This window comes from Homo sapiens, chromosome 10 (assembly GCF_000001405.40).
Source record: "Homo sapiens chromosome 10, GRCh38.p14 Primary Assembly".
In the NCBI taxonomy this organism is placed as follows: Eukaryota; Metazoa; Chordata; class Mammalia; order Primates; family Hominidae; genus Homo; species Homo sapiens.
The window spans coordinates 31181823-31209729 of NC_000010.11; the positions used below are offsets into that span (position 1 = coordinate 31181823).

At 42.8% G+C, this 27907-nt stretch overlaps 1 long non-coding RNA gene across 1 annotated transcript in view, besides 1 other annotated feature; it reads left to right on the plus strand.

Moving 5' to 3' along the window:
- The first annotated feature begins 6060 nt into the window (after positions 1-6060).
- LINC02664 (long intergenic non-protein coding RNA 2664) overlaps positions 6061-27907 on the plus strand; it is a 73670-nt gene continuing 51823 nt past the window's right edge. Inside the window, exon 1 of the long non-coding RNA NR_134478.1 lies at positions 6061-6377. This is a non-coding gene — a long non-coding RNA (long intergenic non-protein coding RNA 2664). The remainder of the gene's footprint in view (positions 6378-27907) is intronic.
- Positions 27334-27834: an enhancer, noted in NCBI's record as "H3K4me1 hESC enhancer chr10:31498085-31498585 (GRCh37/hg19 assembly coordinates)". NCBI's record gives its function as "activates a minimal SCP1, AML or CMV promoter by ChIP-STARR-seq in naive H9 embryonic stem cells {active_cell/tissue: H9 hESC(naive)}" and the evidence as "EXISTENCE:reporter gene assay evidence [ECO:0000049][PMID:30033119]".

The window sequence follows — 27907 nt, forward strand, 5'->3', positions numbered from 1 at the left end:
CCAGGTTCAAATGATTCTCCTGCCTCAGCCTCCTGAGTAGCTGGGATTACAGGCATGTGCCACAACACCCAGCTAATTTTTGTATTTTTAATAGAGACAGGGTTTCACCATGTTGGCCAGGCTGCTCTCGAACTCCTGACTTCAGGTGATCCACCTGCCTCGACTTCCCAAAGTGCTAAGATTACAGGTATGAGCCTCCACTCCCGGCACTATCAAATATCTAATTTTCAGTGTCAATGGTGAAAACACAGAGCTAGCCCAATTATGGGGAGCAGGTAGCCTCTGTGATGTGATTTAAGGGGTGCCATAGGGCTATCTGCCCTTCCCCCAAGTTTTTTCTGCACTACCCTGCCAAAAGCACATGAAGTTTTAACAGTTTGTTAAGGGATGACTTAAGGCAGTTCTTCCTGGAGAAATTTATTTTGTTCATTAACTGCCTTAATAGGTTACTCAATAATTGTTTCTTATCTATCAATAATTCAGAAAAACATGGACTTGGCCAGTAGAGAACAAAACATTGAAATTGTCCAGTTTTTCCAGCTTAGACGTTACTACTATTAGTAGGAGTTTAGGGTCAATTCTCTGGACAACCAAAGGAGCATGAATAGAATACAGAGAAATGTTCTACAAAATGGGTTGTGTGCACTTGATGGGGCGCAAAAGACATCCGCTGGCCCTTTCTTGGTAGTATAGACGTTTGCAATGGAAAAGAAATTTGAGACCCTCTACACATCACATTTTTGCCTTTAAAAAAAGAAAAGCAAGGAAGAAATAGATTTTCTAGTATCATATTTAATAAACATATGGAGGCTCCCTTATTTGGTCTGTAAGCCAGACAGTCTTATTTCAAGGACAGTACAGGAGAGCTGCAGTGAAAAGCCCTAATACCACAACAGAGATGGAGGGGACAAAGATGGCTCCACTTTTAGCTTCTTGTAATATTTTGCCCTTCACTCATTCCTGGAGAACTACATTGCCAAAATTATTTAGTTTTTTAGATTTTAGGTTTTTTTTTTTTTGAGACAGAGTCTTGCTCTGTTGCCCAGGCTGGAGTACAGTGGTGCCATTTCAGTTCACTGCAACCTCCACCTCTCGGGTTCAAGCGATCCTCATGACTCAGCCCCCCTAGTAGCTGGGATTACAAGTGCACGCCACCACACCCAGCCAGTTTTTGTATTTTTAGTAGAGACGGGGTTTCACCATGTTGGCCAGGCTGGTCTCAAACTCCTGACCTCAGGTGATCTGCCCATCTTAGCCTCCCAAAGTGCTGGGATTACAGGTGTGAGCCACTGCGCCTGCCCCCCAATTTTTTTTTTTTTTTGAGATGAAATCTCACTCTGTCACACAGGCTGGAGTGCAGTGGCGCGATTTTGGCTCACTGCAGTCTCTGCCTCCTGGGTTCAAGTGATTCTCCTGCCTCAGTCTCCCGAGTAGCTGGGACTACAGGTTTAGTCCCACCATGCCCGGCTAATTTTTTGTATTTTTAGTAGAGACAGGGTTTCTCCATGTTAGCTAGGATGGTCTCGATCTCTGGACCTCAGGTGATCTGCCCGAATTAGCCTTCCAAAGTGCTGGGATTACAGGCGTGAGCCACCGCACCTGGCCTATTTAGTTTTAGCTAGACAAAATTATTATGTGGCATCGACTATTTAGTGACATGGTGTCTTGGATTGGATCCTGGAACAGAAAAAATGTATTGATGGAAGAACTGGAGAGATGCAAATTAAATCTGTGGTTTAGTTAATAGTACTGTACTGGTGTCAATTTCTTAGTTTTGATAAATATACTATGGTTATGTAAGATGTTAGTATTCGAGGAAGCTGGGTGAAGGGTGTATGGGAATTCTGTTCTATCTTTGCAATCCTCTGGTAAACCTAAAATTCTTTTGAATTAAAATTTCTTTTAAAAGTATATTTGAAATATAGCTTTTTAACATGCATTATTGTTACCAACAAACATTGAGCCATGGATAGTGTTGCTTTGCAATATTATAAACTAATTTGAAATGAAGAACCCACAATATTAAAATGAGCCTCTGGTTTTGTTTCAAGAGTAAAGTCGTGTGAGTCTCAGGCCAGTATTTTAAAACTTCTTATGAAATATTTATACATATTTAGCAACCACTTTTGAGATTTCTTATCTAATAGCAAAGCTACTGCTGAAGAAACTGCTGCAGTATAAACCAGTGAAATCATTTACATAAAAGGATAGTAAAAAATTAAAGTGCCCTCTTTAGTTAGAAAAATCTTTTGGAAGACACAAAGCACAAAATGTTAGTAAAAATGATAAACCACAGGGTGGTTGCTGAATGGGTTGTTGCTGAATGAATAAAAGTTGAGATGCTTCCAACATGATTCCATAATTGAGCTGCTAGATTCTGTTTGAATAATGAAATACATGAAGAAATGCTTTTATATGGCTTGCCAAAGAAAAGATGTACCAGAAAAAGATATTCTCAACAGTAAATGACTTCTTTAATTTAAAAAATGGGGAAATGGGGAGTGGGGGTTTACTCATATGAGTCTAACCACTCAGGGAGTAGCTGCTTTGATGGAATTACAAAAGAAGAGACATCAGCTGGGCGTGGTGGCTCACGCCTGTAATCCCAGCACTTTGGGAGGCCCAGGTGGGCAGATCATGAGGTCAGGAGATCGAGACCATCTTGGCTAACATGGTGAAACCCCATCTCTACTAAAAATACAAAAAATTAGCCAGGCGTGGTGGAGGGCGCCTGTAGTCCCAGCTACTCGGGAGGCTAAGGCAGGAGAATGGTGTGAACCCGGGAGGCAGAGCTTGCAGTGAGCCGAGATCCTGCCACTGCACTCCAGCCTGGGCGACAGAGCAAGACTCCGTCTCAAAAAAAAAAAAAAAAAAAAGAGACATCAAGGGGAAATCCACAGGCATGGCCCCTCCTGAAACATCTGTTCACTGCATCATCAGCCATAGGGATATCATTGCTGTAAAAAGTTGAACCAGAAATCCACAAAATGTTACAGGGTGTCATCGGTGTGGTTACTTGATTGAAAAATAGAAGTAGAATCTTAATGAGATGGGGAATAATGGTGACAATCTTTTGTGCCCTTGGAGGGTTAAAAGTTATTTCATGGCAAAGCACTTAAAAGTATTGTCAAACTTGAGACAGATACGCGTTATTCTTTTATAAATACAAAGGTTCCAATTTGGCTGACTCTTTCTGAGGCCAATACACTATTCATCAGATATTTCCAAAACTATGTTTGATCTGTCCATTTGAGATAAAGGCGAGGAGAAAATAGTGTTACAATGAGGGAGAAAGTAATAATTGTTGAAAGAAATTCATGCTATGGAAAGAGCTCTTTGGAAATGGATGCTTGGAAATATTCTCAAATATATGTGGGTTTTGTTGCCAAAAACAATATAAAAACTCATATCTGTACACATTAAAAACCCTGGAAATATAATTTTCTAACCTGCCCCAGTTTTTTTTCCATGTGAAGAATTTTATCATGTTTTGAAAATGTTTGTTGGAAATATTAAAAATGCCAAATCTTCCAATTAGTTTGCAACAACCACTATTTGATATCTAGAAAAGCAGAAATTTACCAGCTCATAAGACACTTTGGCATAATTAGTGGATGGAATTTAGAAATCAGTATTATAAGTTAGTAAGGAGAGTCTTCTAAAAAGATACTTCTTGTACGTGAATCTACATACAGTATTTTTGTGAAGCATATTTGAATCTATTATAACTATTAAAATATACTGAACTTGGCCGGATGCCTCATGCCTGAAATCCCAGCACTTTGGGAGGCTGAGGTGGGCAGATGACTTGTGCCCAGGAATTTGAGATCAGCCTGGGCAACATGGTGAGACCCAGTCTCTACAAAAAATACAAACATTAGCCAGGCGCCGGGGCGTGCGCTTGTGGTCCCAGCTACTTGGGAAGTGGAGACAGGAGGAGGCAGAGGTTGCACTGAGCCAAGATCCTGCCACTGTACTCCAGCTTGGGTGACAGAGTGAGACCCTGTACCCCGACCCCCCAAAAAAAAGAAAGAAAAAAATATAGAGAGAGAGATAACTCAAAATCAATATCACAAATTGTGTTTGATCTTGCTATGCCACAAAGTACTACACCAAGATTTTCACTAATCAAAATTTTTAAATCTTATTTCAACTTTTTCTTTAAAAATATTTATTTTTTACATTTTATAATGTTCATAATATGTTAATATATAATATTTAACATAAAATAGTAGGTATTAAAGCCTGGTGACATAGGTAAATAAATATAGATGTTAGATAAGAAATATTTTAAAAGTAAATATATTAGAAACACATGCTCAAAAGTTTTTTCTGATGGGGCACGTGATATGTAGTCTTTTACAGCGAATAGACAATCAGAAACAGCAAAGAAAATGGGTTAGTTTAGTTCTTTATAAAATCTATCAGAGAAAATATACATAACATACCAACCCTAAAGTATGCATTGATCCTTTATTGCCAAGCAAGCCAAATTGGGAAGCTAATTACATAAACGTTTTTAGAACTGTTCAACAAAGTCGTCCATTTACCTTTGGTTAAAAGTCAAATTGTTGGAGCACAGCCCTAGAGACGCTGATTCAGCAAGATGAGTATAGACCCAAAAATCTGGATTTTTCACAGCACTGAAATAACTCCTCATTTTGAAGATGAGGAGAGTAAGATCTAGAGAGTTAACATGACTTGGCCAATGGTATGTGGGGAGTTCACCAACCAGAGCCAGGGCTAGAGCCACCCCAGCCCTGTTATTTCCCTGTGCAGCGCCCCCCTTTGGCACATCCTGCTCCTCAAATGAAACTCTGGTGCCTGCCTACTTAGATATTAGCAGATTGGAGGAAAGCAATCAAGGGGCTCCAATTTCAATGCTTCAGCTAGAAACCACTCGTCACTTGCAAAATTATCCTTTGAATTTTCTGGTGAGACTAATGGCCACAGCACTTTATAGAGCTAAAAACAAAAAGCTATTGTTAGGTTTGTTATTGTTGCCATGTTGCTAGGAGAGCCTCTGCGATGGAATGTGCCATTCAATACAAGCTTTGCTTCTCTGGTACAACCCTACCATGTTCAAGGGACATGGCCCAGGTGCAAGGGGAGTGAGACCATACATTGCAAGGCCAAGGCCAGAACAGCAAGAGAAAGGGGAGATTTCCTCTCGGGCTTTGTGGGAGAAGAATCAAAGACTAGCACACAAGTCCTGAAATAACAACAGAGTTCTTCAAATTTAAGAAATAAGCATACATGAAAATTCCAAATGTTATGCTGCTTTGCTTTTGTGGTCCCTAAACCTGCCCATTGCTCATTTGGTTATAGCAAACAGCAGTAAAATGGTCCTGAAATGTATAAGACTGTATTTTGTTGGAAGTAGGCCATGCCCTGGCCCCAAGTTTGATTCACTGTTCTTGGAAATACTCCAAGCATGGTGGTGGTATGAGAGTGGGATATTCACCCAAACACCTAGTTGATCAGATCAGCAAATACAGGCAAGGAGGGTGGCAGATGAACAGAACTGGATACACGTGTGTAAGACAAGTGACAATGTCCTCAATTATATGCTGGAATGAAAAGCACATGTCCACCTCTTCAAGCACCTGAATTCCAAATGCCATCACTTTCCTTTGTTATTTGCATCCTAGAAAATACACCTCCAAGGATAATGTGTGCATATATATACATATATTTCCAGGGTGAGAGAAAGCATGAAGAATAAAGGGAGAATTAACGTACCATTTAACATTTTTGAAATGTTTGAAAACTGCCACTGGGAAAATGGTATACCTCTTGCTTAAAAAATGACACATTTTATTTAAAAATATTCCGCATTTTTTATTTCAGGGGAAGGGGAGGTAAGGGCTGTTGTTTTGTAAAACCTCCCAAGGCTGAGCATGGCTGTCATTTCTGGAGTCTTTCTGCTGAGGCCATTTCTCCTGTGACCATGGGCTAAAGGGCACAGCCGCGTGCCCCCACAGCTGCTTCTGAATTCTGAGCACAGGCCAGAGGAGGGGAAGGGCCGGATGTTTGCAGAAGCAGAGCCGACCCTTGGGTAAAAATGGGAAAACAAAAAGTGGTCAGGATGGATTCCAGAGTAGTTGGAGTTATAGGGAAATCTTCACTGCCAATGTTCTCTAGATCCTCAGCACTACGCCCTGGCCAGCCCCGAAGTCGTGGAGCCCCCCTCCTGCCCTGGGCTGGCCACCTCTCTCACTGGATGAGTGATGTGCTCTGGCTCAAAGGCTGAGGGGGCAGGTGGAGGATGCCTGCCGCGGAACGTGGGTGCTCCCTCCATCAGAATCTTCTCACTGGGAGAGGATCTGCGGCCGTCACCTGCAGCCCCGGTCCTGGCAGAGCTTTTGGAGAAAATGGTAATGTTTGCCTGGTCACTGGGACCACAACTCAAGGGTGGAGGGTACTGGAACGGGATGGGCTGAGGGGTTCCAGGTTCCACTCAGCTGCCCAAGGGCTGGAGGGATCTATGGCCCTATCCCTAAGGGAGGAAAGAAAGCCTTTGCCCTCCATGAAAGGATTCAAGGGGTCTTAGGGCCTTCTTAGTGGCCCTGAGGTCATGATGCTAGTTTGTGCTGTGCTCTGTAGGCTGCCATTGTATTTTGCTATTGTGGGAAAACAGAGGCAGTGCAAGGACTGAGGAAGAAGAATGTAATTCTGTTGGGGGCTTGGAAATCCCCAGCAGGGGCCACCCATGGAAGAGGACACCCCAAGTGCCTGCCCTGGGCCAGGGGAGAAGAAAACGGAGTGCCCAAGGCCTCAGCTTCTCCACTAAGCACCTGTTCCCTCTGCAAGGGGAGAGGGCCACCAGCTGAACCAGTGTCACCTTGCTCAGATCCCAGAACTTGGGCTCCAGAAGCAGCAGTCAGAAGCTTCTGGAGCAGCTCATAGACCCCTGGCCCAGGCCTCCTGCACTCTCTGGTGGTCCTGTAGCAGCCTCCCACTGAAAATGTCCTCTCACTGCTTCTGCAGAATTATGCCACAAGGGAGAAGCAGCTGGCAATACATGTGATTGGATTTTTCTTTTGTTTTGTTATAATGAGAAAGTGAAGGAATACTCATGGGCCAATTTGTAGAGAGAGAGAGAGAGAGAGAGAACATATGAAACATGCCATAAGGAAGGTGGTCTCTCATTTCACTGCACATTGTTTGGCAAAGATGATGTCATTTCATTCACATGTCGAAAGTAATTGGTCCCTTACCAACCACCTATGAAATTAAGAGCATTTCACATAGATAGCTGGAAGATTCAGGGAGCATGGTTTTCATTTATGATTATTTTCAAAGTGAAATGTTTGCCAGACTAAACAACAAAGTTCTTTGCTTGTTTCAAGAGTCCTTTGAGTGTGAATCATGCCTTGATCGACTATGTTTTTTCATTTGTAGTCTTTACTGAGTCTCCGAACGATGGTGCACCTAATTAGTCATCACCAGCACATTATCACTGGAGATAGACAACCCAAATCCAAAGACTTCATGCAGAGTTTTCTGATGGAGTTCCTCAGACACTCTATTTTTCCAGTTCAGCTCACAGTCTTGGGCATCAGATGCTTTTTCCCACCCTCTAACTTTGTCCCCATCTTTTCTAACAAAAACACAATTACTTTTTGCTCTCAATTCAAGATTCCGGGACTAGTAAGATGATACCAGGGTTGGGTATCCACTGAACAGGAATAGCCAGAAAGATCCAGGAACTGAAATTGGGTTAGCAGATTAGAGCTTCGGTGACCCTGAGAAGTTGAGCCCCCAAACCATGGCTGTACCCTAGGAGAGGCAGAGCCAAGGGGTTTGGCATCAGCCAGATATTGCAAACCCGAGAAGGCAATACCCACAATCCAGGAGCTCAGAAATCAGAGATGCAGCTAGGTAACAAACACAGGTTGTGGGAGCCAGGAATAAGCCAGGGAGAGGATGGGGAAAGGCCCCATGGCTGTCACATGCCTCCCGCCAGGGCCAACTGGAATCCTACCTGTGGAGGCTGGGCCCATTGGGGACCCCAAGCAGCACCCACAGCCTGGAGTGTCAAAGTGGGTGGAAGCAGCAGGCACCTGACAGCAATTGCAAGGGAGCAACTATTCCATGTTTTTTGACGCATGCAGCAGTTCCGAGGTGATGCGCGTAAGCATTCTCAGCCTCATTGGGTTCTTCTGTACATCAACTGTAGTGATGCCTGCATTTCACAAAATGTGAAACTCAACGGTGGCTGTGTACAAACATGAAGAAGAAGGGATGCAATATTCAGCTCATGTAGACGAAGTATCGTTTCATGTGGTGACAGGGTAGCTGGCAGTGGTAAAGAGTGGTGAACTTTCGGGGAGGCATGACAAAAAATTATTGTACATAGAGCAGAAAGTCAGAAAGCAAAATGCAAAGGTCCCAGGAGCTATCTTAGAGCAATGCTTCCCAGCCTTTTGCTAACCCATGGCATTCAGAGAAATTATCATTTTTCTTTTTTTCTTTGACATTTATTTTAAATTCCAGGGTACAGTGCAGGATGTGCAGGTTTGTTACATAGGTAACTGTGTGCCAAGGTGGTTTGCTGCACAGATCATCCCATCACCTAGGTATTAAGCCCAGCACCCATTAGCTGTTCTTCCTGATGCTCTCCGTCCTCTCGTCCCCACTCACAGGCCCCAGTGTGTGTCCCCACCATGTGTCAGTGTGTTCACATCGTTCAGCTCCTCCTTATAAGTGAGAACATGCCATGTTTGGTTTTCTGTTCCTGGGTTAGTTTGCTGAGGACAAAATGTGGCATGAGGATAACATGTAACAGGAGCATAACATGAGGCTTCTTGCTTCATCCATGTCTCTGCAAAGGACATGATCTTATTCCTTTTTACGGCTGCATAGTATTCCATGATGTATGTGTACCACATTTTCTTTATCCAGTCTATCATTGATAAACTTGGCATTTGGGTTGATTCCATGGAGAAATGATCATTTTTCTAAGGCCCTCTTGGATAAAGATTTGCTTGCAGCCAAAGGCAAGAGGTTCTGGGTTTCAGCCCTTGGGCACTTGCCTGGATGCCCTAAGGGTTAAGTTGGGGGCTAAGGGTAGTCACTCTCTCCTCACACTTGGAATTCATTCAAGGCTCTAAGTTGAGGAGCTCAATTTTAGAAGACTGGGAAGGAATAAACAGAAATGAAGCATGTCACAGCGGACTTTGGATCAATCTGCAAAAACCCATACCTGCTGTTGGCCAAACTACGCTTACACTAGGTGTAAGTTCCTGCTCTCAAGGAGCTCCCAGAAGAGGGAAAGAATGGAGACAGAAAAGCACTTGTTATGATGAACTAACCATGACCCACGGGGTGCGATGAGAAGGCGAGTTTATTCTTACCTCCACCTCCTTTCAGAGTTATTTGCTAAGGCCCACCCTTTTGCAGTCCTGGGGGAAAGCTCAGGGGCCCATAGCTTTCCTGGTCACCTTTAGACATTAAAAGTGTCCCAGTTGCTTAAATCTCAAAACATCAGCTCTTTCCAGTAATTAATACATTGAATCAAGTGTAATAATCAAAAGCGTCATGCTTCATTTAAGGGTAAAACTTCTGGCTCCCACCCCCATTGCATTGAGGCTGGAGTGCAGTGGTACGGTCACGGCTCACTGCAACCTCAAAGTCCCAGGCTCAAGCGATTCTCCTGCCTCAGCCTCCACAGGGCTAATGGCTGCCGCAGCCAGGTGCTCACTCCAGCTGGTTTCTGAGTTCCCCAGCATCAGATCGGGGAGGAGAGAAGGAGGATAAGCAAAGGCCCGGAGGCCAGGGTCGCAGCAGCCCTTCTCTTGTGCGGTGCCTTCACAGGTTCTTCTGAGACCCTCCAACTCTCCATTCCCTACTGGGCCACGATCCTGGGGCTGTCTCCCCTGGAGCCCCTTGGGGCCCTGAATGCATCTCTTCTGGCTGCTTGCTTATGGCTCTTCCTCAGCCCCGGGGAATCTGAAGTCACTTCCTACCGGGGCTGCCTCACTTTCTATTTGGCCCCTCTTACTCCCTCCTTCCCCCGAATGGCCCTCACCATTCATGGGAAGCATGACGAGTCCTTTGTACCCAATTCTGAGTGCAAGCTGACCCCAACACCACAGAGCAACCAACAAGCCAGGCTCCCCACTTCTCAGCCAGACACCAGCCCACTGTGTCCCCCGAGCGTCAGGAGGCACCCCTACACCTTGGCTTGAGGTAGGGCAAGTGACCTCATTCTTTCTTCCAGGTGAGGCCCACAGCAGGGCTTTCCTCCAAAAATTCCCTACTGTAAATTTCAATTCTTGGCTTCCCTCTCATCTTTTATAGTCTGGAGGTGGGTGGTTGGCTGAGACTACAAAACTGGTTTCCATAAGCACTTTTTGCAAGTCTTGCATCTCACTTTGGAATGTTCTAGCTATTTCTTTGGGGCCTCACTTGAAACTGAGACTAAAATAATTCCAATTTAACACCTAGTACAGATAGAGCATCCCCCCTTTTTGTTTCAGGACATAGCACATATAGAAAATGATGATATTTGTGTGGTGCTCTTGGGTAAATGGATGTGCTGTTCATGGTGAGAGCTAACTGGCCAGGAGCTCCACCTGCTCCAGTTGCCCAACGTGGGCAACTCAAGGCCTAGGGGTGCAAGCACAACCTATTTGCAACATGCCAAGTGCAGGGTCTTCACAGGTTCTTTCGAGACCTTCCTATTCCCCCTCCCCACTGGGCTATAATCTGGACCCACGGCTGTGTTGCTTGTTGTTGGTTGGGAAGCTGTGTGGCTAGGCTGTGGACGAGGCTGGAAGTGATGCAGAAGAATAAACGATTCATTCGAGCTGTAGCATCAGGCTGCCTGGAGGTGGTGATGCCTGAGCTGGGTCTGGGTTTTGAAGTATGAATAGGAGTTCTCTAAGCAGCTGCCTTAGTCTGTTTTCTGTTACTTAAAACAGAATACCTGAAGCTGGGTAATTTATAAAGTACAGAAATTCCTTCCTTCCTTCCTTCCTTCCTTCCTTCTTTTCCTCCTTCCTTCCTTCCTTTTCTTTCTTTTTTCGAGACAGGGTCTCACCCTGTTGCCCAGGCTAGAGTGCAGTGATGCAATCATGGCTCACTGCAACCTCAAACTTGCAGGCTTAAGCAATCCTCCTGCCTCAGCCTCACAAGTAGCTAGGACTACAGGTGTGTGCTACAATGCCAAGCTAATTTTTAATTTTTTGGCAGAGATGGGGTCTCCCTCTATTATCCAGGCTAGCCTTGAACTCAAAGCCTCAAGCAATCCTCCTGTCATGGCCTCCCAAAGTGCTGGGATTACAAGTGTGAGCCACCATACCCGGGCAGAAATATATTTCTTACAGTTATGGAAGCTGAGAAGTCCAAGGTCGAGGGGCCGCCCCTGGCGAGAGCCTTCTTGACGCTAGGGTCTCTGCAGAGTCCTGAGGTGGCACGGGACATCATGGCATGCTAGCTCAGGTCTCTTCCTCAGGGACCAAGGTCCCACATGAGTTTCGGAGGGCACAAACATTCAAACCATAGCAGCAGCCACCCAGAGCAAGGACATTCTAGGGAACACAGTGTTTGGTGCAGGGTGAGCACTCAAGCATGTGATTGGAAGGAGGGAAGTGGCTGGATGGGAGGCTGGAGGCTCCATCCTGGGCAGCCCTTTCTTTCAAGACCTCCTCACAGCTGTGCCCTGCAGCAATTTCACCTAAGCCTCATTCACAATTCTTTCTTCTTCTTCTCACATCTAATTAATTACCAGGTTCTTGTTTTCGTCTTTTAACTATTTTCCCATCATCCCATTCCTTCCAGTCCCACACTCACTGCCATGGTCTTCATTGTCTTACTACTGTGAAGGCAAACGTCACACACATGATCCACCTTGCCCCTGTTCCCCTCCGCTAATCCAATTTCTATGCTGCAGCAGCAGTGATGTTAAAATATCAGGCCAGGATTAACCACCCCCTCCAATCATTTTACTTCTCACTCAGTGAACTCTTCTTCCTTCCCGTAACCTGCCCAGGCCCATGCACTTTCCCCAATGACTTCATCGGATCTCCACTCCAATAGCACTCTATCAGAGACCCTCCTATAAATGACAGCACCCTAACTCCAAGACCCCATTTCCTTACCTGGCAGCATTGATTGTCACTTGACATGTTGCATGTTTATTTCATTGTTTGCCCCAGCAGAATGTGAGCTCCTGCTGGAGGGAGCAGGGATTTGATCTTGTCACTTGATGCCTCTCCATGCCTAGTTGGTAGGAGGACCTCAGTGATAGTTGTTAAATAAATGGGTGCGTAATCCCAGCGGTGAGGCTGAGGCAGGAGGATTGCTTGAGGTCAGAAGTTCAAAACCTGCCTGGGCAACATAGCAAGACTCCCGGCTCTACAAATGATTTTTAAATTAGCCAAGCATGGTGGCTCACACCTGTAGTCTCAAGTACTTGGGAGGCTGAGGCAGGAGAATCACTTGAGCCCAGGAGATTGAGGCTGCAGTGAACCATGATCATGCCACTGCACTCCAGCCTGGGTGACAGAGTGAGACCCTGAGTCTATAAACAAACAAATAAATAAGTGAATAGAGTGAGGTGTGAAGAGACAATCAAACTCTGGCTCACTTTATACTTAGTTTCTTCGTGACATATAAAGCCATCCTTTTTTTTTTTTTTTGAGATGGAGTAAAGCCATCATTTTTAACAGCAAACATTCATTGAAGATTCACTCTATGAGCAGTGCAGTGCTAGCTATTTTACGTGTATTATCTCAGTCTCCACAATAACCTATGAAATAGGTACTATTTCTAGCACCCTTTTTCATGTAATGTGGGTCCTTATAGTAAATGAAAATATGTAATAATACATTAAAACATCAGTAATGTACACTTTACATTGCACACACTCTGGCAACTTGTTTATTTTTTCAGAACTTTTGCCGTGTACACATACACATACATATAGTTGACCTGGAGTTTGTGTATGTTTTTATTTGCTTCTTTCTTGTTTTTGCTATTTTACAAAAATGAGGTCTCATGATATATATTGTTCCACAAGGTGATGTGTCTCAGAGATTTTTTTTTTTCATGAAATTTACTAAGATGGACCTCACTGTTTTTCTTGACTTGCATATGCGGGATACATCATGGTGCATTTAATCTCTTCCTACTGATTGACATTCACATTGGTTTTTTGGTTTTGTTTTGGCTGTACTGTGTTACAAACAATTTTGCAATCAATCTATCTTTCTATATTGTTGATTGGGGCCCAGGTATGTAAGGACGTCAGGAGGGAGATTCCTAAATGTGAAATTGCTAGGTCAGCAAACATGCATGTTCTGTTTATTTATTATAATCTGATACTAGGGTTGTGGTCTCTGTAGCAGACATGCCTTGCAGCCAACCCACATCCTTTCCCAGCTCCTGTCTCCTGCGTCTGTCCCAGCTCTTTGCCTGAGGCTTTCTCTGGCCGCAGAGTTTGTTCTGTCTGTGTCTGAGCCATGGAGTTAAGGCCCCCCGAGCAGCCTTCAATCAATGACCCACAGGAATTGATGGCTAAATACCTCCTTGGCTGGGTGGGTTAATGGGTTAACTCAGGTGCATGTTTTATGCTGGATCACAGTTTCCAGTTGCCCACAGTGGTAACTTGATTGACAGCACACTCTTCATTCACTCCCTCCCCTGCCCAATCTCCCTTCCTTAATACCCCACTGATATTTCTTAGGATGACCACCCAAACAAACGCTTGCACTCAAATCCTTGTTTCAAGGTCTGTTTCTGGGGAACCAAAACTAAGAAACTCTTATTTATTTATGAAAAAAAGTAAATTTTGTTCTTTAAATAAAATTGATGCATATACTTCGTTTTTTTAAGTTTATACTTAAAAAAGTCTTTCTTTTTATAAAGAAAGAAAATTAAAAGTAAACATCATCTTCTAACCCAAAGGTAATAACAGTTAATAGTGTCCTTCATTTCTTCCCAGAAAGAGACATGATTATACAAATATATATATACACACATCCTTTTACATTTACATAAATGGAACAATGCTAAACACGATGCAGCTGGGCGAGGTGGCTCACGCCTGTAATCCCAGCACTTTGGGAGGCCGAGGCGGGCGGATCATGAGGTCAAGAGATCAAGACCATCCTAGCCAACATGGTGAAACCCCTGTCTCTACTAAAAATACAAAAATTAGCTGGGTGTGGTGGCGCTTGCCTGTAATCTCAGCTACTCGGGAGGCTGAGGCAGGAGAATCGCTTGAACCCAGGAGGCGGAGGTTGCAGTGAGCCAAGATCCAGCTACTGCACTGCAGCCTGGCAACAGAGCGAGACTCCATCCCAACAACAACAACAACAACAACAACAACAACAACAAAAACATACACGATGTTTGGCACTTTTACCCACTTAATGTTGCATCTTGGAGAACACTGATACTTACATAGACAGAGCTTTTAGTGGCCTTGCATTTCAGGGGCACACCACGCGTTTTTTAATCAGTCCCCTATTAGAGAACATTCAGTTGTTTCTAATGTTATGCAGTTACCACCATGCTGTGACAAATATTTTTGTACATATATTTTAGGTCATTTAAAAAAATTTTAAATCATAACAGAATTGCTGGGTCAAGGTGTATGTGCATTTTGTTTTTGTCTTTTAGACACTACTGTCTTTTCCTCTTCAAATAGGCTGCACTGACTTATACTTCTACCAACAGTGTCTGAATGCCTGGTTCCCCATACCTCCTCAACAATGGGTTTACCAAACATCTTAATATTTAGTAATCTGTTAGGTGAAATAAGTGTTTAATTATTTTATTGTGTGTTTCTTTGAGCATCTATTCATATATTTATAGTCATTTATGGTTCATCCATGAATTACCTGTTTCTATCCTGGACGAATTTTTCTATGGGATTTTTTGGTCTTCTTCCTTTTGGTTTCCAAGAGCTTTTATATAGGGTATGGCTATTAACCTGTTAGGTGTGGTTCTTATACGTCCTCCCATTCTGTGACTTTTCTTTAACTTTGTTTACTAATACTGAAATATTCTCTTATACAAGTGTTTTACATTATTAAATCAATTCTATTCATTTATTTTCTTGGTTTCTGAATTTTATGTGATGCTTGAGAAGTCTATTCTCCAATTTTATAAAAATATCCATCTGTATTTCTCTTAGTTCTTTCATTTTTACATTTACATCATTAATTCATTTGGAGTTTATTGGTGTTTGTTGTGTTTGAAGAAACTACAAAGAAATGAGAGTGAAGAAAAGAAGACAAGCCTGGCTTAAAAGTGCTGAACACCAGTCGGTGGCTTATGCCTGTAATCCCAGTGTTTTGGGAGGCCAAGGCAGGAGGATCATTTGAGGCCAGGAATCCAAGACCAGCCTGGACAATAAACCAAGACCTCATTTCTTCAAAAAATTACAAAATTAGCTGGGTGTGGCTGAGGTGAGAGGATCCCTTAAGCCCAGGAGATTGAGGCTGCAGTGAGCTGTGATTGCGCCACTGCACTACAGCCTGGGCAACACAGAGAGACCGTGTCTCTTAAAAGAAAAAAAAAATGTGCTGAATGCTTGGGTAGTGATATTGGGGAGTTTCCATTGATCAGGACCTACTAAGGGGTTTTCTTTCATGGGGAAGGTGGTCCAGGGTCATTTTCCAGGGCTATTATCAGTGTGTGCCAGAGCTAGCATGTACTGGCTCATGAGTGCCAATTTATTATGTGTTATATGTTATACAACCTTCTTATAAGTTAAATCTTATTACATTATAATTAAATAAATAATATTTCCAAAAAGGTAAAAACATTTAAAATCTACCACTTCCAGATCATTTTACTATGTTGTCTTCTTATATATGCCTCTGAGGTTATTTACTGCCATCGTATCTGTGCAGTGGAAATAGTACATAATGTTGATATAACATTAGTTGCTTGAATTGGCCACGGTGGGAGTATTTACACCTCGGATCTTGGCAAATGCTACCAGTCAGGGTCCTTTTTTTTCTCTGGAGATTAGCTGATAAGCATTTACCAGCACACCTCTGACTTTGCCTGTCTCCAGATATGCTTATTCAGGGAAGAGGCAGGTGTGCTGGAGAGGAAACCCCAGCATCCGTTAGAGTCAGACTTGAGAACTGTTAGGTTCTGCCCAGTCCTACCACTCTACGGTTCCAGGATACTCGTGATTATTCTGCATGTCTACATTGCCAAGGGGAATATAGCTCAGAAAAAACTGCTTTAGGGGATTGCTCCAGTCTCCACATTCTTAACCTGGATCTCATTTTGGTGTAATTCAGCCCTCCGATGAGTCGTGCACAGGATTTTCCCTGCAATGTCTCAGATTTAGATTCCAACATGGCAACTCAGACCTATAGATAGAATTATTTATCATCATTCATCTATTTTCCATTTAATATTAAGTGTTCTTAAAACATTTGACTCTCTCTAAATGCTGTCCAAGTAGCTGCAATGTATTGATATTTTTACTTACTCTCTTCCACATGGCAGCTTACATTTTGTAGAGAGCAAAAGAAGGTTGAGAAAAACAGGGTTTGGGATCTCACACCCGCTCTTGAAATAAGGGAAGCATTATTTATCCCAGTTATAAAGAAGAGCCTTTGTTTTATCTTCGTAAGTCAGTTTTTTTAAAGAGCTAAAAACATGTAAAATACATAAAAATCACAGGAAAAAATGTATGGTTCAAGTAGCTGTTATATAATTTTATGAGAACCTTCTGACTGAGAATATGAGAAAGTTACTTTTTCTGCTTCAGTATTTTATTTTAAAGATAGAGAGACCTTGTAAGTGTTAGCACAAATTTAGAAATTCCTGCTAAATCAATTATAATAATAATTTTATGCCTTGCTCATCCTGAAACAGACCCATGTATCATATTAATAATGTTTTGAGGGACACATTTCATCAAGAGCTTTAATTATTTTTTACAACTATACCTTGGAAGTCATTTTTGCCCACATTTCACAGATGGTTAAATTGGCCTAGTCACTGGCTCTGAAACATTCCAACCTAATTTCCAGCTTCTCTCCATCTTCTTACCTTAAATGCCATTCCTCCTCTTTTCCATGGAATCATCTCCTGTCTTCAAGATTCTACAGTTTTTCCATAATTATTCCCAAGTTGAGTGATGCATTGCTTTTCTGGACTTATAACTAATTTTCCATATCACCCATTTGGCACCTGATTATAATTTCTCTTGTAACTTACACTGTTAGGCAATTTCTACTGTCTTTACAGTTGACCCTTGAACAACATGGGTTTGAACTGCATGGATCCTATTATATGTAGATTTTCTTACATCTCTGGCACCCCTGAGACAGAAAGACCAACCCTTCCTCTTTCTCCTCCTTCTCAGCCTGCTCAACGTGAAGACCAAGAAGATATAGACCTTCATGATAATCCACTTCGACTTCATGAATAGTAAACATATTATCTTCTCCTTATGATTTTCTTAATAACAATTTATTTTCTCTGGCTTCTATTATTGTAAGAATATAGTCTAGAATACATATAACCTATAAAATATGTGTTAACTGACTGTTTATGTTATCAGTAAGCCTTCCGGTCAACAGTAGGCTATTAGTGATTAAGTTTTTGAAGAGTCAAAAGTTATACATGGATTTTTTATTGCAGCGGGACTCAGTGCCCCTAACCCCAGTGTTATTCAAGGGTCAACTGTAGTTTTACCTCAACATTCAGACAAGAGGTTCTGATTCTGAGAGGTGTAGACTCCCTTGGGACTTTAGGGAAATTGGTTATATCATAAAATTATATGTAAAATTTTGTGTATGCACCAATGTGCCTTTTTAGGGGCAAAATTCATTATTGTTATCAGATTCTCAAAGGGATTTTTGACCCAAGAGTCTAGTCTCCTGGAGGAATGTAATTATATGATATGCTTCATTATATTCTTCACAATATCTTCAATAACTCAGCTGAGTAATTAAATGGGCACAGGACAGATCTAATGTTTTCACTTATTTGCCATCAATTAACATCTTATTTTCCAAACCATGGAAGAGGGACAAAAACTTTTCTATTTCCATCTCACAGATGTAATGAACATATATGAAGATAATAGATGTGTCAAAGTTTTGAAAAGTTAAAAACAATACCTTATGGATATGATAGCCCATGTTGAGAGATGCGATAAGGAAATTCTGCACTTCCAGAATTCCCCATCATTTTTATTACCTTTCCTGAATCTTATTCTAGAGCAGCAGAACTTGGAAAACGTCTTCTCCCTTGACTGACTTCAGCAGCATTGATCTCCAATACCACCTCTCACCCAATAGTTTGTTAATAAAAATGTCTTTATCCCCTGTTCATTACTCTCCATTCTTTGGCAACTTTAAGTCCTCATTAATTACCATTGTCCCCAGTACTCTTCCTACTATAATTCTTGGTGGCTGCAATATTCTTGCAGATGCTGCTTCTAATATCCTGGCTCCTTATTCCTGGACCTTCACTTTTCCAGTGATCTTGTCCTCCACTCCACTTTAGCCACCACCTCCCATGGTCAAACCTAGACCTTGTCTTTACCAATAACTACAATCCTTCTGTTGTAGGCAGAATAACGGACCCCCCCTCCAACCCTCACCAAAGATGTCTACTTTCTAATCCCTAGAATCTGTGAAAATGTTACATTACATGGCAAAGGGAAATTGAGGTTGCAGATGGAATTAAGGTTGCTAATCAGCTGACCTTAAGTAAGGAGACTATGCTGTATTATTCAGGTGGCCCCAGTGTAATCACAAAGGTCCTTAAATATGGAAGGCAGAAATGGAGGTCAGAAGGCTGTTCTGGATAACTCTACCCGCTATCACTGGATTTGCAGATGGAGGAAGACGGCCATGAGCCAAAGAATGTGGTTGGCTTCTATGTCCTGGAAAGGACCAGGAAATGGATTCTTCCTAGAATATCCAGAAAGGAACAAAGCCATGTCAACATCTTTATTACAGCCCAGTGAAATCCATTTCAGAATTCTGATCTCTAGAACTACAAATCACACATTTGTGTTGTTTTAAGCCAATAAATTATGATAATCCATTACAGCAGCAGGAGGAAACACATACACCTTCCTTTCATTAGCAGATGAGGCCAAGGTTGCCTTCATGCAACCCACTCTATTTTTGCAATTTACTTCCTCTAGTACCCAACTCTGATAACATTTTGATCCCACTAACTCCTGCAATCCATTGATCCTATAACCTTTTTACTGCCTCTCATTCGACTCCCCTCTGTTTTTCCTACTTGAGCAGCTCAGATTCGATGACCAAGTGCTGGAATCACTCACCTGCAGCTCTCAACTGCAGAGTAATTCAATTAAATCCAACCCTCTTCCTATCTTGTACTTGAATCTGCTAGTTGAACATGGTTGAAAACAACACACAGCCAATCTGATTGGTCTCACTTTCAGTCCCTGACTCTAATATCACGTGGGATCTTAGTGTGCCAGGAAGTTCTTGCTGGGATTTCATGATCCTTCCCTCTCTAACTTTCCTAGGAGACTATTTCACAAATTGTCTTCTCTCTGGAAATAACCAAATTCTTTTTCTCTGTCTTCACTCTCTGCTGATTTTGTGTGTATGTAACCTTATTTCTTATTCCATTGAGAAAACAGATGATCAGAAGAAGACTTCCTTAAATCCCCACGACCCTACACACCCGCTCACCCACCTACACGTCTTCCCTCCCATAGCTGTGAACCACTGGTGAGGGCATCTATGGAAGTTCCGCCCCCCCGTTGCAGGGAAGACTCACCAGTCACATCTCCTGCTTCTGTCTCCTTTGGTCCCATGAAAACACTTTTCTCACTCTCCACTGGATCACTCTCATTGGCATACAGACATCCTGCTATTTCTCCTGTCTTAGAAGAACCATCTCTGGGCCCCACATCCCCCTCTGTCCCTGCCCTACTCCTCTGCCCCCTGAGAGATGTCTGCACCCCTCTCCTCCTCCCATTTTCTCTTGAACTCACTCCAGTAGGGTTTTTGTCCTCTCCTCTCCCCTGAAACTGCTGTTGTCCAAGTCACCAAGGGTCCCCCAAGGCTAAATCCAGTCATCAGTTTCCAGCCCTCATCTTACCTGACCTATTGGTAGCACCAGATACCATCTTTGGTCTGGATTTTTGCAAAATGTCTCTAACTGGGTTCCCATCTCCTGCCTTTGGGAACGTGCAGTCTATTTTCTACTGGGCAGTGGAAGATTTCTGTTTCATTTTGGTTTTAGTGAGTCAGATTAAGTTGCTCCTCAGCTAATCACACTCTAATCACCTCTCAGCTCACTCAGGTAAAAGCCAGACTTCTCTCAGGGGCCTTCAAGTGCTGTAAAAAATGGCCTGAGGCCCCTGCCCTCATCTGCAGACACGCCCTGGGCTCACTCTGCTCTAGCCTCGGACCTCCTGGCGGCTTCTCAAACTCACCAAGCACCTTTCTCCCTCAGAGCCTCTGTCCACTGACTGTGCCCTCTGCCTAGAACAGTCTTCCCCAGAGGCTGGTGTGGCTTGTTCCCTTCTCCTTCCAGATTTCTGATCAAGGTGGTGTTCCTGACACCCTCCAACACAAAGAAAAAGCACCTCCTGCTCTGCCCCACCCCTGCTTCTTCGCTTTACCTTATATTTTTTCCATGGCATGTATCATTATCTGAGTTTTATATATGTAATATTATTCAGTTACATATAATACATTATATACTAGTACAGTCCTATGCCCCATAATGACATTCTGGTCAAGGACGGGCACATATAGGACATTAGTTCCATAAGATTCTTATATCATTATTTTCCTGTACCTTGTCTATGTTTACATATGCCTAGATACACAAATATTTACCATTGTGTTCCAGTTGCCTAATGGCGTTTAGGACAGCTACATGCTGTACAGGTATGCAGCCTGGAAGCTATGGGCTACACCACACAGCCTAGATGTGTAGTAAGCTAGACCATCTAGGTTTGTGTGCACTCTGTGATGTTCGCACAATGACAAAATGGCCTAATGATGCATTTCTCAGAACATATCTTCATCATTAAGTGAGCCGTGGCTGTATATAATATATTGATGTAATATATAATAATTATGTAATATATTATATACGTATATTAAATGTATGTATGGATACATACAGTATATATATGCATGTGTGTATTTATATGTGTGTCTGTCTACATATGCATGCATAATTATTTCCCTCACCAACTAAAATATAAATGCCATTGAGGCAGGGAGTTTTTTTGTTCCTGGCTATACCTCCAGCACCTAGGAAAGTGCCCTGTGTAGCATTTAATAAGTTTGTTGAATCAATAAAAGAAAAAATAAATGAATGAATGAATTTAAGTAAAGTTGAACACACACTCAAATGGATCATAGCTTGACTGTAGATCTTTGCTGTCATTGTTTTGCAGCCAGGAAGGCAAGATGAGCTTCTCCTAGCTTTGTGTGTGTCAGCTTCAGCACTTATCAAATATTGATAAGTTTGATCTTGGGAGTTAGTCTACCTAATGTGTTTCAAACCTCAAGAGGCATCTTCTCTAGGGAAGTCCTAGAGTCCTGTGATGTCACCACTACCTAGATTTCCTTTTTGTCTTTTGACAATCTTCCCTTAAATGTACCCTTCTCAGGGGATAAAAATAAGGAATAGAAGTTAATTATTGATGTTGTCAGTGAAAGTTTTCTTGGATATATGTGAAAAACATTGCCTTTTTTCAGGAGAAGCTTACCAGGGTAAAGAAGCACTGTGTTCTCCATGGTGAAAGCGAGAAGCTCAATTCTAAAACACCATTTGAAAATCACGTCTGTCCAATAAACATTGTATAATGATTGGGATACCCTAATACCATTCTTATATTTACTAATGGATGTGCGGAAATACATACTCCTAGAAAAATTAATCCAGTTAAATTTTTCTCTTTCATTTTTAACTTCTTTAAGCCTCAAAAACCCAAGAGTGTAGGATACATTTATAGCTGGGTTATTGTAGCTATTTTCAGTTTTAACTATTCCATGTTCCCATCCTCTCACAAGGAAATGTTAGCAATTCATGGTTAATCTGGGCCATGAGCAGAAAGAATTTTTTCCCTTTCTCTTATTTTGAGGTAAAGGAAAAATTTCTGTAGAAACATATGTTTTTGGAAACGCTGGACTTAGAGAACACTTTGTGGTGCAGAACTATGGAATCTTGAACAGAGCAAACACTGCACTACTTATATCCATCCCTCAGAATGAAAGAGTAGATACAGCACACGTAATAGTGGGAAACTGAGGTTTGCCAGGGCTTAGACAATGTGTTTATGAGCAATTCAAGGGATCTTAAATGGTGGATAAGTTATTTTCAATGTTTCTGTAATTCTAAAGTGCAGGAATGATGCTGCATGATAGTTGACCAACAATGGCGGGTGTTAAGAATTCCATTCATTGGGTATTAATAGCATCAGGATTATAACTGTCTTACACCCTTGCTTATTTCATAATCTATTTCTGGAACTGGAGATTTGGAGGTTCGCCAGGTCTGCAATCCTGTCAGCTTTGACTTGATCAGTGGGAGCCAAGCGCATTAACCCAAAAGATTCAACTGAGAGGCGGGGGTGGAAAAGGAAAACTTAAAGTCTAAGTTTGTTGGAACCCTGCACAAAAGGAATTGTACAGTCTAGATAACTATCTGGGAGAGTTGCTAACAACTGGAGAGTAGCTGAATGGCCTGATATGGGAATTCAGAGAAGTTTATGGCAAAGTGAGTGTTAACTAAAAAATATATAATTCATTCATTTATTCATTCACTAACAAAGCCATAATTAAGCACCTACCTTGTGTTTGGCAAATGGCAGAGAGCAGGTGTGTATGCCAAAATTATTTTGGGGGATAGAGATTTAAGAAGGCCACAAGTGTGATGAAAATGTTATCCAAAAGGGCCTGGTTCCACTTCTTAGCTGCTTGACCTTGGATAAGTTGCTTAACTTTTCTGAGTCTGTAGAATGGGAATAATTAACTCCCAGGTTAAAAGACTTCTGAGGATTTAGTGAGACAATTCTATGAACAGTAAGACAATGACTTGGAAAGCATCTCACATGGTTCATGGTCCATGAAAGGCATTCATGTTTCTGTCCTCTTCTCCCAAGAAAGGTGTGTTAGTCTTTTCTGCATTGCTATAAAGGAATACTTGAGACTGGGTAGTTTATTTTTAAAAAGAGGTTTATTTGGCTCACAGTTCTGCAGACTGTACAAGAAGCATGGTGCCGGCATCTGCTTCTGGTGAGGGCCTCAGGAAGCTTCCAATTATGGCAGAAGGTGAAGGGGGAGCAGGTACATCACCTGGTAAGAGAAGGAGCAAGAGAGATGCTATGTGCTTTTAATCAACTAGCTCCTGCGTGAACTAACTCATTACCATGGGGAGGGCACCAAGCCATTCATGAGGGATCCGCCCCCATAACCCAAACACCTCCCACTAGGCCTCATCTCCAAAACTGGAGGTCACATTTCAACATGTGATTTGGGGGCAGGACAAAACGTCCAAAGTATATGAAAAGGAAATCGCTCTGAGCGATTCCCGAGGGAGGTAGGAAGGAGTCCTGGGAAGCAGGTCTGGCTCTGAGAGATGGCACTCCTGGATTCTGTGTAGTCTATGTAGAGAAACACCCCATGCTCCCCATGAAATGCATGACTCAGTGTTTGAGTTGAGTTCCTCGGACCTTATAGGTTGGCAGTGGTGCCCAAATGCTTCCCTTTGCTCACAGCTGAAGAGGAAAAATTTGAATTATGACTGAAGAAAATGTCAACTGTAAATGCAGCCTTTAAAATTGAGTCGTATGAAAGAAGTCATTATTTGAAAAAGATACTTGCACACGCGTGTTTATAGCAGCACAATTCACAATAGCAAAATCGTGGAACCAACCCAAATGCCCATCAGTCAATGAGTGGATAAAGAAACTCTGATATATATATATGATGGAATACTACTCAGCTATAAAAAGGAATGGATTAACAGCATTTGCAATGACCTGGATGAGATTAGAGACTATTATCCTAAGTGAAGTAACTCAGGAATGGAAAACCAAGCATCGTATGCTTGTTATGCATCTTATGATATGTGGGAGCTAAGCCATGAGGACACAAAAGCTAAGCTACGAGGACGCAAAAGCGTAAGAATGATACAATGGACTTTGGGGACTTGGGAGAAGAGTGGGAGTGGGGCGAGAGATAAAAGATAACAAATATGGTGCAGTGTATACTGCTCAGGTGATGGGTGCACTAGGTTCTCACAAATCTCCACTAAAGAACTTACTCATGTAACTAAATACTACTTGTACCCCCAATAACTTATGGAAAAATAAAATTAAAAAAAATTGTGTCGTATGTAAAGTGACATGCTGGAGAAGGATGTGCTTTGGTCATTTCTGAAAGTCTCCACCAACTGCAGGTTCAGGAAACATTTTGTACTGGCATCAGGCAACTCCCGGTCTCAATAGGATGACATTACCAAAGCTGGAGTCTCTGTTTGGTCCTGCAGTATAGCACAAAAGGCGCTAGGAATAGCAGGCGGGGCTGCCAGCAGCACTATCAGCGAAGCAGGTGTCTATACTGCCCTCTTGCCCAGTTCCATAAGCAGCTTCCCAGTGGCTTCTGGGGCTGGATCAAGTAGATTCTCTTTCAAGTCCCTGCCAGAAAGAACCAGGGCCTCAAAAAATAACCAAAAAAAAAAAAAAAAAAAATCAATCCAAATAGTGTCTTGTTTCTAAACTGCTATGTATTTTTTTTTCTCTTTTTGGAGACAGGGTCTTGCTCTGTTGCCCAGGCTGGAGTGCAGTGCCACAATCATAGCTCACTGCAGCCTCAAATCCCTGGGCTCAATCTATCCTCCTACCTCAGCCTCTCAAGTAGCTAGGCCTACAGGTGCACACCATCACATTTGGCTAATTTAAAAATTTTTCTTTTAGATGCAGAGTCTTGCTATGTTGCCCAGACTGATCTTGGACCCCTGATCTCAAGCGATCCTCCCACCTTGGCCTTCCAAAGTGCTGGTATTATAGGCATGAGCCACTACACTTGGACCCAAACAGGTATCTGTTAAACTGGCTTTACCTTCATTCACCTTTTGAGCCTGAGAGTGAAAGGAGAACTGTTACCTGCCAAGTCTGCAGCAGAAGGAGTGAGTGTGGTAGCTGGATCACCAGATCTCGGCTCCAGCCCACCCTTGTGGCTGGTACACTGGGGTAGGTTACACAGACCCTGCAGGTAACGAGGCTGAACCCGAGGCTGAGGCTGAGCCCGAGGCTGTCTGCCTATATGATGGGGAGAAATGATAATCGCTCATGGTTCATTGAGCTGTTGAGGGCTAAATGAGCTAATATGTGAAAGGGATCAGGACAGTCCTCAGCGCCTCATTGGACTTCCTAAGTTAACTCTCACTGCTCCATTGGCTGAGGACTTCACTTATCACAGCCTGAGAAGAGGTGGCTGCCTGTGTGGAGCAAGTTAGATGCCCGAGGCCCTTTATGCCATGAATGGGACACAGCAAAGGGTGGGGTGAGAAGTGCCCTGGTGAGGTTGGCCACCTTTTGGCTTTGGGACCTTGGGCTTGGTAATTAACCAGGCCTTAGCTTTTGTATCTGTGAATGGGGATGATGATGTTACTTAAATCATAAGATTGTTGAAAGGCTTTGAAAAAGTGCTTACAACTTGCTTATCTTTGTAACTTGGCACATGCTCAGTGAGTATGCACTCTTTGCACTCTTCATCATCTTATCATCATCATCACCATCTTTCCCATCTGGAAATCACTCCACACATTAGAACCACTTTGGATAAGACAACCTACATAGGGAAAGTGAGGGGAAACACCCTTCCTTTTCCTATTAATATGTGATGATGGGTTTGTACTTTTAAGATAGTTGTTTCTCAGACGACCCCATGAAAAACTGGGCAAAGGATATAAACAGACACTTCCCAAAAGAAAAAATACAAGTGGTCAGTAAACACATGAAAAAATGCTCAACATCACTAGTCATCACAGAAATGCAAATTAAAACCACAACGAGATATCCTCTTACACCAGTCAGAATGGCTATTATCAAAAAGTCAAAAAGCAACAGAGGCTGGCATGGATGTAAAGAAAAGGGAACGTTTACACACTGTTGATAGGAATGCAAAGTAGTTCAATCTCTTTGGAAAACAGTATGGAGATTTCTCATGGAATTTAAAAAACAGAGCTACCATTTGACGCAGCAATCCCACTGCTGGGTATCTACCCACAGGAAAATAAATCATTATATAAAAAAGACGCCTGCACTCATGTGTTCATTACAGCACTATTCATAATAGCAAAGTCATGGTGCCAACCTAAGTGTCTATCAATGGATGGCTGGATGAAGAAAATGTGGTCTATATACACATGGGATACGATACAGCAGTAAAAAAAAAATGAAATATGGACTGGGCACGGTGGCTCATGCCTGTAATCCCAGCACTTTGGGAGGCCAAGGGGAGTGGATCATGAGGTCAAGAGATCGAGACCATTCCGGCCAACACGGTGAAACACCGTCTCTACTAAAAATACAAAAATTAGCCGGGCATGGTGGCACGTGCCTGTGGTACTCAGGAGGCTGAGGCAGGAGAATGGCTTGGACCCAGGAGGCAGAGGTTGCAGTGAGCCGAGATTGCACCACTGCACTCCAGCTTGGTGACAGAGTGAGACTCCATCTCAAAAAAAAAAGAAAGAAAGAAAGAAAGAAAAAAGAGAAATCATGTCCTTTGGAACAACATGGATGGCGCTGGAGGCCATTGTCCTAAAAGAACTAACTCTGAAACAGAAAATTAAATACCACATGTGCTTACTTATAAGTGGGAGCTAAACGATGGGTAAACATGGACATAAAAATAAAATAATGGACACTGGGAACTCCAAAGCCAGGGAGAGTAGGAGGAAGGCGACGGTTGAAAAATTAACTATCATGTACAGTGTTCACTGTTTGGGTGATAGGTGCACCAGAAGCCCAATCCCCACCACTATACAATATATCCATGTAACAAACACACACACGTACTTCCTGAATCTAAAATTAAATTAATTTTAGAAATATAAATTTAAACTGACACAAAAATAAACATAGAAATACAGTGGTTTCTGTGGAAGACCTGGAGCAGGGTGCCAGAGTGAAATGGGAAGAGCCCTAGGTTTGGAGACAAAAGCCCTGACCTCGAATCTTGGCCTTGCCCCCCGCCGCCCGCCTTCCCCTGAACAGCTCACAACCTGTCACCAGCGAGATGTCTGAATGCACGGGAAAGGAGAAGGAGCAGGCAAGCTTCCACGATGGGGCAATAACAAGGCCCAAGACATCAGCAGAGGTGGGAAAGCCCAGCCCAGGCCAAGAGGTGCCCTGGGTGTGGCTGCCTGGAGGGAAAGTGCCTCCTGAACGCCCTGAACCCCGGCCTAGGAAGGGGTGCTGAGGCGACTGTCCTCAGCAGTGGCATCCCTTTGCCATTCTTTTTGGGGAAACCCCATTTTGTTCCAGCATCAGCTGTGGAAGGAGTGGAGTGGCTTCTGGGTAGCTCCAGATACAGGACTCTGCAGACAGGAGGGCAATTCCCGGGCAGAGCCTCACAGAGGGTCCAAGAGAAAGACAAAAAATGTTGCTCTTCCTTTCTCCCTCTCTGCTGCCAGATTAAGTAAATGGTCCTAATTATCAACTCATTCACTGAATTCCTAAACAAGGACCATAGAGAATCCCTTTACACACCACTCTCTTGAAAGGTTAGAGGGGCAAAACTAAACTCTATGGTAACAGCCCCAAGACAATTAAAATGTGCTGCCCGCCCTGCCCCCGCCCCCGCCCCAGCAGCTGTTGAAATGCCTCAGCCTCCCACTTCCCCAGCCTGGCTGGCTTCCCCTGCCCCGCGTTCCTGGCAGGTCTAGGAGTTGAGAGAAA